At 35.2% G+C, this 19,768-nt stretch overlaps 1 protein-coding gene across 13 annotated transcripts in view; it reads right to left on the reverse strand.

Annotated features, from left to right (window-relative positions):
* Positions 1-19,768, reverse strand: part of SATB1 (SATB homeobox 1) — a 100,216-nt gene that overhangs the window by 22,404 nt on the left and 58,044 nt on the right. For all 13 annotated transcript variants that reach the window (NM_001322874.2, XM_011533989.3, NM_001322872.2 and 10 more), the window contains 2 exons: positions 18,619-18,831; positions 10,390-10,545 (listed from right to left, as the gene is read on the reverse strand). In NM_001322874.2, the coding sequence (NP_001309803.1) occupies positions 10,390-10,545; positions 18,619-18,831 (369 nt within the window). The remainder of the gene's footprint in view (positions 1-10,389; positions 10,546-18,618; positions 18,832-19,768) is intronic.

Here is a 19,768-nt window from a genome sequence, read left to right on the forward strand (position 1 = left end):
AAATACAAATACACAAAAATGTTTGCAAACATGAAAAACTGGGGGATAATTTTTTATCTTGCAAGTGAAATCTTTCATTTGCAAAGGAACAATTTAGGACTCCTTTTAATGGTGAGCTCCACCAGTGATTGCAAAAAGTGACTGAACTTGCATGCTGGCTTATCCCTAACATACCTTCAAGTAGCTGTACAAAAAACTTCAGGGTTATTAAAGCAAGGGCATTAGCAATGAAACCATAAATTTTATTTACCTCCACTTTTCTTATTTCTTTGACTTATCCCACACAACTATGCTTTGAATAGCAAACCCCCATTTGGGAATCCTAAAATACAAGTGACTACAGCAGGGATGGGTTTATCTCCCTGATTAGCAATGGGTATTTTTACTTCTGTGTTAAGAAGGGTTCTGAGGTGATATCTGTACTCATCAGGAGAGTGTTGTGATATAGGAATTGAATCAAATATTCTACAATAACTATATCTTGCAAAATGATTACAAAGGTAGATTAAGATGGGAGAAACAAATGACCTAAATTAGATGGAAGAAGAGTTCTAACTAAAAGGCAAAGACAGTATTTTATTTTCCCTTTAAAGTGATATTTAGGCCAAAAGAAACTATGAATAGGAAGAAAAAATATCAGATTTTAAAGCTGAAAGTTATCGTGGAGTAAACACAAAACACATGGAAAATAGACTAAGTGGGAAGAAAGTTCCAGAAAAAAACTAGGAAGCAAAGATTATACAAAGAAGAAAAAGAAACACGACATGAGGAAACTACTAAGCAAAAGGGAAAATGAGTAAGGAATCAAAAAACCCCCACTATTCTTTGGGAAAGTACACCTTCTCTCAGTTGGACAGCAGGAATCACCACCACCACCATTCTAAGTAGCTTCCAAGCTAGGTTCATAACTGAAGTCATAAAACAAAAATAAAGATAAAAAGAAAAAGAGTGTATTTTATTTGGAGTTAAAAGATATTTAAGTAGGCTATATCTATGTTTTAAATGGTCTCTAAAGTGGATTGTTGTGATCTGGTTCCAGGACGTATGATTCAAAAACACCACTGATCCTATTTCCTCCTCCGCTCTTAGCTTTAGTTTTCCACCAGCTTATCTGCCTTCTTATGGATCCAATTATTTATAGGGGGATTCTTCCGAGACTGGTGATAACTTTAGCCTTAAACAGTTACCTACTGTGCCTGCATTTCGCCAGGTTATCTCCAATTTCTATAAAAGCAGAATCCTCAGGGTTTCCAACTCTGCCTTTCAAATCAATTACACAAATCCACAAATATCTCCATGAAATAAAGTTCCTAACTGGGGCCATTTTTGCTTTTTGAGTGTCTGGTATCTGACTATAAAGCCTGAAGTAACAACTTTGCATTAAAAAAAAAAAAAAGAAAGAAAAGCTGTCCTTTAGAAAACTACCTGTGTCCAGTCTTAGAAATCCTTTCAGAATTTAGGTTCAAATAAACAGTTTAACACTGAAAACATAATACGGCATAGAATCAAGGGACATTATGCACCCTACCCACCCCCCTCCACAAAAAAAAACTTACAGAAAAAAAATGAAAAGCCCAACACAGAATACAATCTTTTTACCATTTGAATTTTGGTAAAAGTATAAAAATGGAATTTGATGAAGGTTTTGATAAAATAACCTGGAAAAAAACTAGACAACCCCATTTTTCTAGACACAACTTCTTTTGACTGCATTTTATTTTTATTTAAGAACATCTTACACACACATACATACCCCAACCCTTAAAAAAAAGGGGGGCCTGAAATTTTAGTTACACCACATGTGGTTTTCATTTGTGAAAAATGAACAAGCTGTTTGTGGTTAAACTGTCTAATCGCCTGTTATCAATCTAGCACTGCATTCAAGATTTACAGGATACATCAGCTTCTGTGCCACATTAGCTGTAAGGGATGGGGGGGTGGGAGGAAAAAGGAGGAGGAGAGAGTTTATCCTGAGGAATAATATTTCCAATGCAGCCACACTCGCACTACATCTGGTTGTGCTGGTAGCGGCAGTTAAATTGAAATATTTCACAGCGTGTGTCAGAAACATGCAGAATGGTAATTATGACAGATCTGATTAAGCCGGAGTGCCACAAGCTCCCTGGCCAGCGCCGGTTGTGCAGGTGTGACCTTGTGCGTGCCTGCGTGTGTAAATAAAATTAATTACAAGCGAGAGGGTGAAGGCTTCAGTGACATCACAAAGCGGAGAAACTCCCAAGGGGGAGACCTAATGGAATATTTTCCCTCAGTCTAATAATACAGTTCATATTGACTTGAGGTAATTAGTGGGATCATTAAAGCAGTTTTCCCGGCGTATTTGGCTGCCTGATCAGATTAGTGAAAATGTTCTTCAGAACAAGCCCTGTGTGGTCTGCCAGAGAGGAGGAAATAAAAAGCAACAAAGCATATTTTGGAATGATAAGCAGCGCTGGACTTTTACTATAGCAAAAAATCTCTTCTTTTCTCTGGAGCCGACAGATCTAACTGTCTTGTCCATTTTAATTCTTCTATCCAACCTGTGTATTCTTATATACATTCTGAACTACTTCTTTCAATTCCCCTTTCCCTCTGTTAAATCAGACTGCTTTATCACTAAGAGCCATCCCCAACTCCCCAACAAATCTCCTCTAAACAAGGCAATTTTAAAATTGGGGAAAAGTATCTTAAATGACTGCTTTACTGTTAACTGACAATATGGGACAACTGAGAGAGGCAAAAAAAAAAAAAAAAAAAAAGAGGAAAAACAAAAAAGAAAAAAGAAAAAGAAAAGAAAAGAAAAAAAAAACCCTAAAAACAAGGAAAGAAATGCCACTTAAGATTCACCTGCTAAACAAAAGATTCCTCTCTTATGTAACACATAACAGATTTAAATATTTACTCAAATTTGGACCTCAAAATGGGTTTAGCATAGGACAGAGTTGGGGCATGCATTCTTCCTGTTGAACAGAAAACAGAGGCCTCATCAAGAAAAGGGCCATTTGTTTGAAAATACTCTATTGAGCATGCTCTACCTTGCCACTGGAATATGCCAAGCGCTGTCACAGATGGCAGGCTCTGACAGTTCCCATCCGTAGCGTCGATACTCGACAGTTCAGCACAAGATCAGTGACATTCTGTCTCATTAGAACCACGCTAATTATCACAGCTAGTTTCAGGGGAAACCATGTGTTGCAATGGTCAATTTGAAGGAGTCTGTGCATCAACAAACTGGTAATAAGGATCAGACACCTTATTATATGACAGCATGCTGCCTATGATCTGATTTACGAAATCAGAGGCACTGAGGCGGCCGAGGAGGCTGGCAGTTTATGAAACAGTGTGTTTAAACCCAATTCCTGAAGCATCTTGGTTGAAAAGGGAATTGTTAAAAAAATACACAAAGGCAACTGGAATAGGTGAATCACAAAATCAAAGGAGAATAGATTTTCTATTAATATACAACAGAAGTAGATTAAGACTTAGGGGAAAAAACATCAATTTGACAATTGTATGCTGATTTCATAAATGGTTTACAACTTCTATTTTTACATGGTATGTAATTATAAATTACAGAGTAGTTATATGTCTACTAATCTCTAAAATATAGATATATATATTTTTAAATGGGTGGTCTATGATTTGTGTCATTCTGCCAAGCAAATGGGTTGCATATCTAAAAGTATAACAAGTATACTTAGAAAAATGAGTAATCTCTAAGGTTACTTTTTAAGATACCATCGATATTCTTGGCAGGGCAGAAAATTTCTACATTAGATTCATTTTACTAACGTAAGTTCTTCCATTCCTCTCTTAGCACCTTTCACTGATGTGAAATTTTAATGGTACAGTTTCTTCCACAGCTATTTTTCTATTGTCCTTTAGTATAAATGCATTTTCATAGCTCATTCATTTCACAGGGTCTTTATTTTCGTTTCTCATGTGAGGAAAAAAGAAGATAAAGTTAAAATAAAACCTACCTTCATTATCAAAAACATAAAAGACAACTACTGAGACTTTTAAGAAAAAACACTTTCATCTTCTAACTTGGTAGATTGTTAAAGGATTATATCAGTGTTATAGCTGTGTGATAAGTTTAACTGAATGACACTCAGTTTTAAGATTAATTCCTGTTAGGAGTGAAACCTTGTTGATTTGCTGTTTTCCCTACTTTCTGTACCCACCCGAACCTGTCCTGAAGAACTAACTCTTCAACTGACAAAGCTGAATACAGAAGAGCTTCCAAAAAGAGAAAACTTTATAGAATATTCTTAGTTTACACTTTTCAGCTTACACTAACATTTTAGGACAAAAGGTGCTCTCATATTAAAGCAGGTTCTATGAATACATAGTTGGCATAGCCGTGCTTCAGAACATATATGCTGGATTGCTGTAAAGGGACCACTCTTGCAGTGAACTTCTTTGTGTTTCCTTACATGATGAACCTCCTTAAAGCTGGCTCAATATTCACAAATTAATTCTCTTCAAATCTGGTCTAAAAATTTTCTTATGACATCTTCTAAAGATGCAGAAATGAGGCTTAATGAGTTATGTCTATATTTGTAACAGTTAAGCTTATTAAGTGGGTCGAAGAGAAAATATATTTGACTTTCAGTTAATTCTAAATTTATGGGGAAAAGGTGAAAATTTTAAATTATTTCAAAGAAGCAACACGATAACCAGAGATCTTCTGTTCATTTTTTTAAAGGTAGGTAATACCAAGTGTCTAGGGGATAAATCACCTCTTGATACGACTTTTTAGCCAGAAATATGATAAGTAAGCAATTGTTCTATTTAATAATTCTGGACCTCACAGATCAAATCCTAGATACACTAAAACAAACATACTTATTTTTAGGAGGCAAGAATCTCAAAAGAAGGCATATTCAGATCCACAATTAGCTCTTAAAAAATCATACACAATCATGTACCTTCAAACTATTAATGTCAATATTTAAAGCCATTAATTTTAATAGTCCTGTTTGGCATTCAACTAGAAATATAAAAATATATCAACGTTTTAGAAAATTGAATCCAATATGAATTCCCAACATTAAGATGTAAGAGATTGTTATAAATGGCCACTAATATAGAACACCTTAAATAAAGAGACTGATGAACTCCACATCCTTCTTACTCAAGAATGGAGCACAGGGACCTCCAAAGATCTGTGTTAAACTTAACACCAGCAGACTGCTGAGATGCAGGGACCACACTCTGGACTGTCTTACTTGTCTTCTTGTTTTCCTCACAAATACTTCTCTTGCCTCCTCCTCTTCCAGGCAAGTGGGTCCCAGGGAGACAGAAGCTGTATCCCCCTCAGGGTGTCCTCTACACATTTAGATGGAGAACATGTAAAGGGGCAGTTCTCTCTTTAGAAAGTGAATGAAGAAGGCTTCGTTTGCCCAAGAGAAGGGGCTCTTAGGCCACAATGTGAAGATCCCACAGACCGCTACAAAAGGATGTAGCACCGGAAATAACAGAAACCATGATTCTCAAATCTGCAGGGCCTCCTATGTGCCTTAAATAGGAGGCTACACAGGTGAACTCTTGTTGTAGCAAAGTCTGTTATATGAACATTCCAAAAGAATGAATCAGCACAGAATTAAAAACTGAAGTGTAATTTAATTCTAACAGAATAAAAGATGCCTTCACTAGCATGCTAGCATACAGAATGCAATGTCAATGGTTCCATGATTTTACTCCTGGATTTTGTCACTATAGATCTATTTTCAGCAATGAAAATTACATTTTTAGCCCTATTTCTAGCCCCAATGATTTGCGACACGTGTCTTACTTGCATTTAAGACATCCATTACCATGTGAGAATTTCCAAACCTAAAGGTCAGAATGACGTTTTCTTTCACCTACAAACCTAAGGAAAATGGAGGTATTCTTTTTCTCTCTTTCATCCTTGTTTTCCCCTCTCTCTCATCCTAGGGGCCATGAATCTCAATGACAAACAAAAGTGACTGAAAAGTAGATGAAAGAGAAGGCTTTAAATTATTCAGTCTCTTCTACTAGCCATGTTATTTTTGCATAGTCAGAAATGCTCTTTATTTATATTTTTTTGTATTAAAAACATACCTATTCATCAGCCAAAGTTGTAGCAGCCAGAAAGTACTACAACTCAGAGACTGCAAAAATATTATACCAAAAGTATGTTAGTCAAACAGAATTTTCACCAGCTAGTTGCTTTATCCAAAATAAATACATTGTTCAATAAAACACTAGAGGAAATTATTTTCTAAGCACAAGTGATGATGCAGTGTGGTTCTGTGAAAGCCCTTTACTGTCTTACTGCACTACTGTACCTGCAAGCTCCACCTATGCAAACATGAAAATCAATGTAACAATTCAGTATACAAGGCAAGGCCTACAGTGCTGCTAATGTCTCCTTGCTGGACACACACCTTAAGTCTCAGAGCTCTCGAGGGGTTTGCTGTGGAATAAAATTAGATTCCAACATCTGCCACCATTAAGGAAAAAATTCCATTTCCATCTCCCATATGAAAACACTATAACCAATGAACAGTAACTGAACCTTGATACTGTAATGGTTATTACCCAAATCAACTATTTTTTTAAACAGTAAAATTAGCAAATTCTGCTCTCATAATTATTTGAATGTTATCAGACTAAATGTTTGATAAAATTCCAATATGATTCACTTGGAAAAACTGCTGCTTATTTGAATACCCAGAATATAAAGTGTATTCATTTGTAGCTACTCACATTATGTTTAAAGCATATCATCTTTTTAAAGTTTGCATTAGCCTGCTTTCCTAACCAAGCACAAAAAGTAGCCTACCTTCAGTTTTTACTTGCATATTTTATCAGACGTTTCTATTAGAGTTAAAAACAATTCCATATCTATTATTCATTGAAGAGACAATACATGTGAAATGGTGGAATCCACGAGTTGGCTTCTTTTACCGAAAATACACTGTGCATTAGTCACTGCAGAGCACGCTTTACCTTTTAAAATGGAAGGTATTTATGATACATAAATACCTGATAAATAAATCTCTATCCATGTGGAGGACTGAACCTCTTGCTTAGCACATTATGAAACGTTACCATTTGGGTATAGTGCTATATAATTTAAAAGCTCTTTTGCATACATTGTAGCATGTGCCTTCTATGTTAAAAGAATCCTGGGCTCAAAAGTTAAAATTTTCCAATATTATACCACCAATGACACAACCTGGATCAGAGTTGGCCTCCTTTGACTCCTCCACCCTGTACACCCACCTCCATTAGGTATGATAGAGCCTGGACTCTGAAGGCTCTGTGTTGGTAAGAACCTTGTGTTCCATGAATATGTCAATGAAGAAAGGAAAGCCCTCACTGTTTCTACTGTCAATAAGACCAGTATCCCTAATTCCTCTTCCTCAGATCAGGGTAGTACTTCAGTGATGATGCTGCCTTGAACCCTGAAGACAGTCTAAAATAGGAGAAATGCAGAGAATTTGGAGTTGGCTGTACTACATTTATTATTTAAGAAACTCTCATGTGTAAAAGTAAGAAAATAATAGCTCACAGGGTTACTAAATTAATGCAGATAATCTATAATGCATGATAGGGTCTAGCACAAAAAAACACGATGGTTAAGTCAACCCAGACAACCAGGGCAAGACACAGAAGCAGATGTAGGTAGATGGGCTGAGACAGAAGAGACTCTGGTTCTTCCTGCTTCACACACATTTTGTCTTGGGGGACTGCTGCCTCATTTTGGCAAGTCCTGGCACACATCTGAGGCCTAAATATCTATTTTAGAAGTGCAATATTTTGACCATTAAAAAGGTCAGTCTGATTTGAAGGGTTTTTTTGTTGTTGTTGTTAGTTTTTCTGTTTCCTTCACAAAACATCATAGCATGAGAACAGAACCTAAGTAAATGGCCACTTTTCCTTATTAAGTCGGGTTTCTTTTGTTAGTGATATACACAGGTTTTGGACTGTCTCATTTTTTAAGCAATCATCAATCTTTCTACATGTTTTCATAAACAGGGTAGTGCTAACATTAAACTGAACAACTAAGTCAAGACTACAAAAATGCTCTACTAGGACGTTAGAGTAAATTAGAAGTTGAGAATAACTATCCAAGGGAATAAAGTTAATAGTTTGCTTGACTCCCATAGCCCACTATTGGCCCCTTTGATTTTCTCTTAACTAGTAATGAGTAATTAGCTAAAAGCTTTGGGGCTTTGGGAAACACACCATCACAGAAGATGCTTGGAATTTGCTTATTTACATTGCTGAAATAGAGACCCATGAGGAGCTGTGTAGGACAGGGTAACAAAGAGCAGGGATGTTTAAAATGGCTTAGAACATCACCTATATGACATTATTAGCCAGTTGCTGCTACTATCTAAATAGCTCCAAAATCAGTACTCAGCCCAGATTGGGGAGAACCCGGGGTATCATTTAAAAGGATGAAGTCAAAGATAGCAAAGGAATTATCAATCACAGGGAATCAGAAAGGAAAATGATGGCGGGGGTGGGGGTAGATTGAATTAAATGACAGGTGATAGATAACTAAATATGGTTATTAATAAGTTATAATATTAATTTTTGTTTTAAAGCTAACCTTTACTATAATACATGTCCAGTTTCTCCATTTTGGAGATTTAGGGAAACAGGCTTTTGTAGGAATGCAGTCTGATTATTACTGATGATCGGACAGGTCAGAAAAAAAAATGTAGAATAAGAAAGGCAAGATAATATATATTTAAATATGATATCCTCATCATAATTAGGCTAAAGAGCCAAAACAAGAATGTGTGGGGTGGGCAAGTAGGTGGGGGGGGGGAGTGAGACCAGGACATTTCTCTTAAATGCGTAGTCTTGGCATGTAAATGAAGACATCTGAAGAAGCACACAGGTTTAAAGCGGCTCTAACATTCTATCATAATTAGAAACATTTCAAGAGCCCTGTAATTTCCAATCAAAATTACAGTAATTTCCGATATACAAGCCATGATTCATGACAGAATTTTACATTCCATGAGAGATTACGGTGGCCTGATGTATGACACGCTGAGTACAGCACTAACATAAACAATTCAGTTTAATGTTTAAACAGCACTTGATGTTTAGAATCTCACAATAAAAGAAACATATTATTGTAGAAATTATCACTTTGACAGTGATTGAAGGGTAGGCAGGCATGTGGCCTATAAAGCTATAATTTTTACAGTCCACAGCTTGAGTTTAATCATTTTTATATAACATTTCCAAGATATCCCTTAAGTATTTCATCAGGCCTATAACTTAAACAAGAACAACATTCTTCTAAAGCAAAACTCCTGTCAAGTAACACTATAAATGTCGATAGGGTAAAAGTTTAGGAAAATCTGAAAAGATTATTATGTTACAAATATATCGGATTATAAATACTCCCACAATTGTGTATTTCATCAGAAGTTGACAACAGCCAGGCTGTTTTAGGATTCATTAATGGTAATAAAAATATACTTGTGTAAAATTTCAAGTTGTTAAAATCTTACCTGGAGTCCCTATTTGCCTCTAATGTCACCTTGATAGTGTTATGAAATTCTTTTTCAAGGGGGAAAAGAGTTTAGTGTTCTTCTGGTCCTTTAAAAAGTATTCTTGGCTTTGGAGAAGGGTTTATAGATAACTAAGTTTGTTCATATAGATGATTCCACTTTTGATGAACATGAATTATTAATATTTGACAGTTATGCTGATAAAAGACTATACGACCTATCCTTTTTTATTTAGTTTGGTAGAAGTTTACAACTTTTCCAATTCAAGGCTATTCAGCTGTAATTCAGGGTTGGACAAGTTGTAATCAATCTGTGTGTCTTGCATACTCTACAGAAAAATTAAAATCATTAATATGCAAAGCTATGTGTGTGTGTGTGTCAGTTTGTCTTAATAAGTGTATTTAATAGTTGCAGCCAGCTGAGTTGAGAGGCAACTATGCTCACTGCTATACCACCAATGCCACATTAGATGGCTGAATTGGAACAGAAGAAACTGTATAAAGTTTTGTAGCATTTTAGTAGGAAAAAAAATAAAGATCATCTAAGCAATAATGAAATAATAGTAATTCACATTATTTATTCTACTACAATAGACCAGACTGAGAAACTGACTATCCATTATGATATCCTTCTCAAAATACCTATTAACTGACTTGGGGATTTACCATAAAATCCTTGGTCTGAGGAGTGGCTATTGGAAAAAACAAAACTAAGTGCCTATAACCTGAATTTGAATATTGTTTCATTTTAGAGCTCTGGAAATAATCCTAGACACAGAGGCCTCTCCGTGATGCAAGTTCATACTGAAAATAGACACTCCTTTTAATGAAAATTCTACAGGCAACACAGATAAACATTCTCAATGCCTAACAGAGGCTCTTACCTGGCTTTTGGTTGCTGCAACCTTTGCAAACAGTGCTTGAGACACTTTAGCACGCTTCATTTCCTGCTGAATCTCATCATAAATGGAAGCATTAATGTTCATGGTATTGTTCTCTGGTTTCCCATTCCTTTCAGTGGCAATAGTAGCTGTTTTCACCTACAAAACATTTTGAACATGGCTGTCATTTTTCATTGGCTGAATTGTTTTGAAGCTTCTCAGGCTCAGCATCCAAACTGGACACTGTTGTTCCTTTTATGATCAAGGTGATCAACAGTGCAGTCATTCAACATTAGTTATTGCCCTGAGATCAGATTGCTTAAGTTAAGGGAAGTCACATTGTCACAGGTGATTGCATCTGTAATATGACAGCAACTGCCAGCTGACAACCAGGAATTATAATGCCATAAAGTAAGTTTTCTGGAAAACGAAATAGTTTCAAAGACTTGAAAACCCTAAACTAATTGTCTCCCAATTACCTTCCATTGCAATCCTAACAAAGGAAATTCACAATTAAAATCATAATGCACAGTGCTGTATCTTCACTGGGTGCCCGGTGCCTAATAGACAATTGAATCACTAATAGCTATTACATACTATGGCCTTTTTAATTTTAGACTATTTTTATGCATCTTCCTCTTATGTTTCATTTAAAAAATCTTCCATAACAAAGCCATTTGCAGAACTGCGTATTTAAATCTTCTATCCATCCATGAAGCAGGTAGAGTGCCTTGCTTAATTATCATAAAGGCTGGTTGAATTTTACACGTGCATGTCCAAGCTGTTCTGTATAATTATTTCATCTTTTCCTGGCACCCCTGTATATAACTATTTCCTTTTGACTTGTGAAACCACACAATAAGATAATGTTTCACAATATTAAATAAAATATTGCTGTAAGCATCACAAAATATATAATCAGTGACTTTACTAATATATTCAAAAAGTACAATCTTGAGAGAAAAATCAGCATCAATGCCTTTAGTAATAGTGATAAGCAGATATCGGCAGTAAAATGCCACAAAATTTTAGGGGCTGAAAGCAAATCTCAACTTCAAAATGTACTGATACTATAATTCATGTTTAAAACTCCAAATTTATTTTTTATTACACAGTAGTATGAACTAGCCTGGAAAATTTACATAAAAACCATGTAGCTGATTTTTTACTGGGAAACTGATGAAAATATAAATGAAAAATTACTACAGATACAAAACCATGTTTCTTCCAGCAAACTGATCCCTTAAAGACATCTTTTCAGTTACTTTACAGAACTCAGGTTTCTATCCTCTAGAAACTTACCATCCTGGACAATTTCTCACATAAACCATGAAAATAGAAAATGAAGTATGCTGTAGAATAAACAAATGATTTTTTTGGCATTAAATGATATAGCCTTTGAGTCAAGCTGCAGGACTTTAAGATTTATTTTACTCTGTTCCTAAAATATTCAGTGATTCAATTCTCCGTACTTAAAGCATAAATAGGAGATCCCTTTAAAATGTGCCTGCTGAATCCTAATTTCTAGCCAATTAGCAAAATAATTCACCTCTTGCTTATCTTGAGAAAGCTGGTAGATGCTTTCACCATGATACCACCTTTCCAAGCATGGAAAAGATAATGCTGGGAAATAGTTGGCCCGCAGGCCTGAAGGGGACACAGCAGGTAAGGCAGGACAGGTGACCAAAGGTGGGGCCTCATCCGCCTCCTCTCCAGAGTTCCCCTTCTAGCTTTGCCACTCTAGTAAGCAAGGGCACTCATAGAGATATATTAATGACTGGAGGCCACTAGAACACATACAGGGCTTTGAAGCAATAATCTGTTAAACACCACTTTAAGAGCCAGAAGAGTTAACAACACATTACCATAAATTGCCTACAAAGTTGCTTTGGTGAGATTGGAAACTTTGCTCTGGGGTGGTCTTGCTTTGAGGCAGAGGGATAGATTTGATCACCCCATGGGGTCCCTTTTAATACCTATTTTTCTCACTGCTTAAATGAAAGAGAAAAGAAAAGCCATTTCAATCATTTTGAAAACTGAATGTTATGGAAATGGGGGCACCAAGTCCAGTGCACTGAAGAAACAGATCCTTGGTAGCAATCTGCTAAGCAATAGTTAAAAGAACAGACTTTGGAAAGTTGGTGTTTCGATCTGTTTTTAAAGTAATTTTCATTATTTTGTAAAAATGATGTTTAAGAATTTATCTTTGAGGTGCGCTATAATCATTTGTTTCAACCCTGTGACTTTGTTTCTAAAAACTTCTTTGGTTAATTTTTTTTTTTATTTTAAAGCAATTATAATCAAGCACAAATTCTAAATTATTTTAAAAAATCATTTCCTAGTAGCCAACACAATCAAAACAAAAGTGAAAAAAGTATACAAGAAATATTTTTTTTTAAAAAAAGAATGTGAGGGTGAAACTTTAACAATTACAAAGTTAGAAAGTATCTCTGTACTACTCATTTAAAAAATATTTAGGAAAGCTCTTCTTTACCATTTTGTTGGCCCAGATACACATCTTATCATAGATAAGCTATTAGAATTCTAGAATCACATTTTTTTTTTTCCTAAACACAAGCTATTGCTTAAGGGAAACTGACTTGGACAGCTTTTCAAAAATATGAAAGCTGAATTTTTCCCCAGGTAAAAATGGAAACAAAAATCTTTTATACCTCACTCTACTAAGTACTATTTTAGCTTAGTACAAAAAAATCTTCTTTAATCCTGGTTTAGCTTTTAATATTATATCACACATTAAAATTCATAAAGTAGTTCATTCCAGGCAAAACAAACTACTGTTCAGCTCTTCTCCGCAAATAGCACAGGAGGTAAAATAAATGCAGTTGCTTTCAGAATAGCTTTTATCAAGGTAGGGTGTACTACTCCATTATTAAGGCGGCGCCGGGGAAGTAGTTAAGAATTGGAGCTTCTACTACTTACCCTCCCATGTGGGGATAGGGTGCAGCACTAGAGTCTGCTTTTTATTTCACTAAAATTGTGCCGCAGGACACACATTTTCCATAAAAACTCTATTTTGCTTCTTCATGGATTGCTGTATGCATTGAATCATGCTTTTAGATTTTACACGAAATGAACTCTATTTCAGCCTTGATTGGTGAACATCCTACTCTGATGCATGAAGAATTGCCTGCAAGCACACTGCTTTTACACAAGCAAAATTAAAGTTATATGTAGTTTTAATAATTGTGATAATAAACACTGACATTTATTAGTTGTTTATTATGTGCTGGACATTGTATTAATGTATATTAACTTCTTAACTTGCCTAACAGCCCGGAGGAGGTATTATGATTGTCCCATTTTAAAATTGAGAAAACTCCGTTAAAACAAACAGGTTAAACAATTTGTTGGTGGAGCAATGCTGAGATCTAAACTTAACTAGAAACCCAAAGTTATTTAGAGTTCATGACATTACCTGCACCTTCTTTACTTGAAAAAATTCTTAATTTTTAGAGCAGGCTGGACTTGTTTTTTGGTGGCCCTTTGATAAATCTAGCTCATTAATGTCTAATTTTTTAATAGCTATTGATTTTTGATTAAAATCCAATCTAAATTTATTTTTCAGGGTATAAAAATTATATTTTCTTATTAATGAAAATAAGAAATGTCCTCTTTTATGGATGCTTATTAGTGATGGAAAATATTTCCCACTCTCAAATTTTAATATATTAACACTGTCTTTAGCACCATGGTTTCATATTTTTAGATATTTCTTTCCTTCCAGGAACAGTATTATTTTCCAAATCTAGCCTTTAAAAGTCTTCCAGCTTTTAAAAGACGACAATTAATGGGATGCATTTTATAACCACATAAGCAACATCTTAAAATGATCTTCAAGGGATTCATAAGAAATAAAACTTTTACCAAGTGTTAAGTTCCTGCCTGTAACTGAACCTGAAATCAAGATGAACCTATGTTTCATTATATCGTAGAGGGATTTCTTGTAAAGAGACAAAATAGTGCAACTACCAGATTAATCATATACTGTTTATATTAACTTCATAAATTTTCTAAAGCATTGTTATGAAATAGCATACCTTTAGTAATTCTTTAGGTAATTACATAAAGAGATGTAAAAAATGAAGAATTACATAAAGAGATGTAAAAAATGAAGAAAAAAAGACTTTTGTGTAATTCATGTAAAAGCTGTAACTCAGTAATTATATGCTTTCAAACAGTCTTCATGGAAACAAACTGCTAAATTAATTTAACTCCAAAAGTCACACACCATAAAATGCACAAATCAAATTTTAAAAAGTATACCCTTACGGTAGAAATCATCACTTAAAATTCTGTAAAATATACAATTCTCAGATAATAATCATGAATTATTATTGTTCATAAAAATTCCTCTAATAAACTCATCAGGAAAATCTGCAAAGCTTATAGTGAAAAGAAACCTTAAGACCAAGGAAGCTGGGAGGACTGGGTTCTCCCAGATATTTTCATGAGACCAAAGTTTAAAAGGGGCTGTTCTCCCCACAATCCCAGAAATGCCATTGTCTAGTTTTCCCAACTGGATAATTTGTCAAACAAGTTATTTCATTAGGACAATGCTTTAGCACATGCTCCTCTTCCCATTCTAACAAGAAAACCTCCCATCCTCTATGACAAACAAAAAGATCTCCAAGTTTCACTTTTCCCTTTCTAAAATAAGTTTGCTTTTATTCTGAGGAGGTGGCTTGAAGTAGAGGAAGGAGCAAGAGACTTAGCAGAGGATTTGAAAACTCTGACTCAACCTTAAACTTGGTTTTCTCATTTTTCTTCTAGGGAAAGGTTGGTATGAGGATTCAATGAATTAATGTATTCAGCTGCTTTCAGAATAGCTTTTATCAAGTTAGGGTGTGAATCATTATCAGGTGCAAGATATTCTTATTTGTTGAATTAGAGCATGTAAGTTGTGAAAATGTTTGCAGCAACCAGGTCTGGCCCAGAGCCTATAGCCCAGGCAGAGGATGAAGCACAGGGCATAACTGTCCCTACTGGAGCACATGGGATACCTCTGCAGGGAGGCATCTCACCTGGACTGGGCCACCAAGGAGCTCTGGTGTTTCCTGAGGCTAGGTGTCCCCAGGTGGGGTCTGACTAGCCAGGAAGTCCTTTCTTGAAGATGACTTAGAATTCAAGTCCTTCAATAGTTTAGGTCCTTGTTATGGTATGTCCCAAGGGCACTCCAAAATCATCTTCTGCATGTTTTACACTCTATAAAGAGGTGGAAGAGAATCCAGTTTCCCAGGCCTTAATGGGGGCTGGGTTTTCTGTGAACCACTGAGGGCCTCTGCTTTTAACATGTGGTTCTTTAGAAAGAAATCAGGTTTCAGGTGCAACCCAAACCCAAGATTTGTCTCAAAATATGTTTCAAATCTCCTCATTTTGGGGGAAATGAAATGTATACTGATTTCACATGGACTCCTCTTTGGCAAAATGTAAAATTTAAAAAGACAAAATTTTGCAGTCTGTGTTATCTGTGGTTTTCTCCATTTTATCCTTTATTTTAACTCATTTTTAATATGCATACTGGTTCCAGTTTAAGCATCATTTCATTATTTCAACTGCTACAAGACAGCACTAATTCAAGTGCTCTATAACGTGTTTTTCCAAATCTAAAGTACTAATTTTGCATTGATAATACCTTTAATACCTTAAGATTTCTTAAAATTTAATTCATTTAATCATGGTTAAAGGGAAGAATGTGAACAAACTGGTAGTGATCTCCATTATAATAATATTAATAATTTAAAGATTTATATTGCAGCAGCAAAATAAAATTACACACACATACACATATCAGTTAGTCATTTTGGAGTTTGGTTAGATGGCCAGTAATACTGCAGTAATAGAAATGTTTTATTTGAAAGAGTTTCACTAAGAATCTACAGTATGTATATACTGTATATTTTCATCATTGGCTGAATACCCTAGCTATGGGCTTGGTCTCAGCTCCTCTTCAGAACAAACAAATACAGCTAAGGGTGGCACAACCAGTTAACCAATAATTCAGGCAAAAATAAATTAAACATATATTCTATCCCAACTTATCAGCAGATAAAGCCTTTAAGCATACATACAGGAAAGTTATCCTATAGTATCTTAACAGCATATGAAAAGAAATATCACTTAATAAGAATTGGTATAACTTTAGCTCAAGAAAAAGCTTGATGAGTAAGGACACCCAAATCACATTTGGAAAATAAATAAAACCAGAGTCCTAGAAAAATTAGAAAACAAAAGCTGTATTAAGGAACCACAAAGTCAAATATCTGGCTAGATGTTTTTTTTTTTTTTTAAAGCAGTTCAATGTTGAAGTTCATATTGGTCTTAAGTAAGCCATTCTTTTATTAGTATTGCAGATTAAGTGATAAGTAAAGTAATTCTCTGCTCAGAGCCCTGTCAGTGGTGACTTCAGGAGCAAAGTTAACTAATAAAAGTGTGTGTATTAACACTAAACACTACAGAAAAAGTACCAAACCAAATTATTTTATTTCATTTCGTATATTTTTTCTTTTTTATCATTCCTAGAAGTCATAGTTTATCTTTTCTCTTTAACCATACTTAGAAGTCATATTTTTTATACATAAAGAGTTCCTCATTCTTTATCTTAGGAAATATTTTATAGAAGCATTTAGAGATCAAATTCAATAACTTTGTGTGCGTGGGCAGGTGGGTGTGTACATACGTATATAGATGCCATGCTTTTCTCCTAAAGAAGCATGACTTTTTTATTCACAATTATAGCAATGATTTCCTTATAGTCTGTTCCTATAGACATCAAGACCAGATTGATTTTCATTAAATAAACTAGTGAAAATGGATTTTGTGACATTTCTAAAAAGTAATAGTTTCAGAACCTTATGATAAGCAGTTTATTTAGCTACTCAACAAGTGGCTAAATATTTCTTATTTATGCAGTATCCGTAGTACTTTCACTCTTTAGTGTTGAATGAGTTTTTTCTAGATTTCTATACATGAAAATGTATAACCACTTTCTACCATTGATGAGAATGAAGTAAAATCGAGATACAATTTCACTATGAGATTGTCATATGAATATTTCGACTTTTTCTTCCATGTTCAATTTTTATCCAATTTTAACTGACCTTATTTTTAAGAGCTGTAAATGTCACAAGTTAAACATGTAAGAAAACACATTTGCAGCCGGGCGCGGTGGCTCAGGCCTGTAATCCCAGCACTTTGGGAGGCCGAGGTGGGAGGATCATGAGGTCAGGAGATGGAGACCATCCTGACTAACACGGTGAAACCCCGTCTCTACTAAAAACACAAAAAAATTAGCTGGGCGTGGTGGCAGATGCCTGTAGTCTCAGCTACTTGGGAGGCTGAGGCAGGAGAATGGCGTGAACCCGGGAGGCAGAGCTTGCAGTGAGTGAAGATCGTGCCACTGCACTCCAGCCTGGGTGACAGAGCGGCACTCCATCTCAAAAGAAAAAAAAAAAAAGATAATATATTTGCTTGTGGTTTTTGAGTCTAATACACTAACTAGCAAACTTTTATCTAAGGGTTTGTAATGCAAATTGATTTACTGAATTATAACAGTTATGAGGTTACTTTTAAAACTTAGTTTAAAAAACAATACAGATTCACATACCCAAAGTTACCCGGAAGGCAACTTTCTTTCCTAAAAAGTCCAAAAATTTTAAGAAAGAGAAAACATGCCCGTATCTTGGAGTATGGATAGAATTCCTTATCAGCCCCATTTAAAGCTGCCTTCAAGGATTTTATTAAACTTAATTATGAAAGATTACAAATGAGATGGTGTGTAATTGGTACCAGCTGCAGTTCGTACTGGAAAGTATAAATACAAATGAAATTATTTATTTTTATTTATTTACTATTCAAATGGCGATTCTGAAACCAGTTGGGAAAAAACTGACTTTATTCTTTTTCTATTGAGTTTAAAATACTTTACTTAATAACAACAGTAGAGACAAATATCCCATTTAAAGACTACTTTCACCCCCAAATAACCCAAAGAATGAAGGAACACAAAGCAATTTTCTTCCCTCTATCTAATTAGGAGCTTATTGTTTTTATATCAGAATTAATGATTTGGGACCAAATTCTCCTCAAGCAACTATACGAATTTAAAAACATATAAATCTATGTATCTATCTATCTAATTTCTTATTGAGATTCTTCCTCAAGCATTAAAAAAAAGCTAAACAAAGAAGGGCAAGGAGGAAAAGGAGACCGCACCTGGGGAGGACGGCTGGGTGGTGTGCTGATGAGGGGGGCAGGACCCATGGCCGAGGCAGCATTCAAGCTCCTTTCCCTTTCGTCCTGGTATATTCGGTCTCTTTCAGCTTCCGGTAACTGCAAGAAATTCTGCATAGCCCGAAGGTTTACCAGCAAAGACTGGGATGCAGTCTTGGGGTCCTCTTCCTTTCGGAGGATTTCTGAAAGCAAGCCCTGCAAGAAATGAAAGGCACAGGGTGAGCCTGCTGCCTTGCTTTGCCTGGCCAGCAGTGATCCTTCCCTTTTCTTCTCCACTCTGTTTAGAAAATGAACAGTCAGAGGCATTAATTCTGCATAGGAATATATTAGTTACAACTGAAGTGGTAGAGAAGAGAGCCTCAATTGTATTCTTAATTTTATTAAGCATCTGCTTTACATATAACATAAACTGAAACTGCCTAATTGGTCTCCTTCCTTTGAGTAGCTTAACTTGCCATGAAATCTTTCACAGAGAGACGATCCAGGGAAGTTAAGAATAAACGAAATCCTTATAATGCAACAGCACTGAACTGTATAGTTCCCAAGCTGCCTAGACAAAGGCAGTGTAATGCCTACAGCCCAATATGTAAAGATACAAAGCCATTTCTAGAGAAGTAGAACTTTCAAAGAAAATACCAGAAAATGAATTTTAACATATTAGAACAAAGGTTATTACTAAAGCATCACCTAAGGTTTATGCTGTATTTTCACAGGCAATGTTTAAAATTATTCCTTAAACTCTGACTTATCAAAGTACATGACACTACGTGACCCTTTCAATTTACCATTTTCAGAGAACCTCACTGATTATCACAAATGATTCTAAATACTATCTTGCTGTATTATACCACTGGGTAACAGGTTTAAATTTTGAACTTTAAAAACCATAGACAAGATTTGAAATATATTAACTAATTTTCAACATTGCGAAAGTCCATCACAGCATGCCAAGGAAAAGAGTATCAAATTCTGTAATTATCAAATTTCTTGGGGAATAAAAATTGTTAGTGATAGAAGAAATTTATAAATCATTAGAAAACTCTTAAGGTGTCTTTCCCCCCTAAATAACAGAACATCAATTTTCAACTAATTTTTTTAACTTTTGGAAGAACTCTTTCAAAAATGGGTGGTT

This window comes from Homo sapiens, chromosome 3 (genome assembly GCF_000001405.40).
Source record: "Homo sapiens chromosome 3, GRCh38.p14 Primary Assembly".
Classification (NCBI taxonomy): domain Eukaryota; kingdom Metazoa; phylum Chordata; class Mammalia; order Primates; family Hominidae; genus Homo; species Homo sapiens.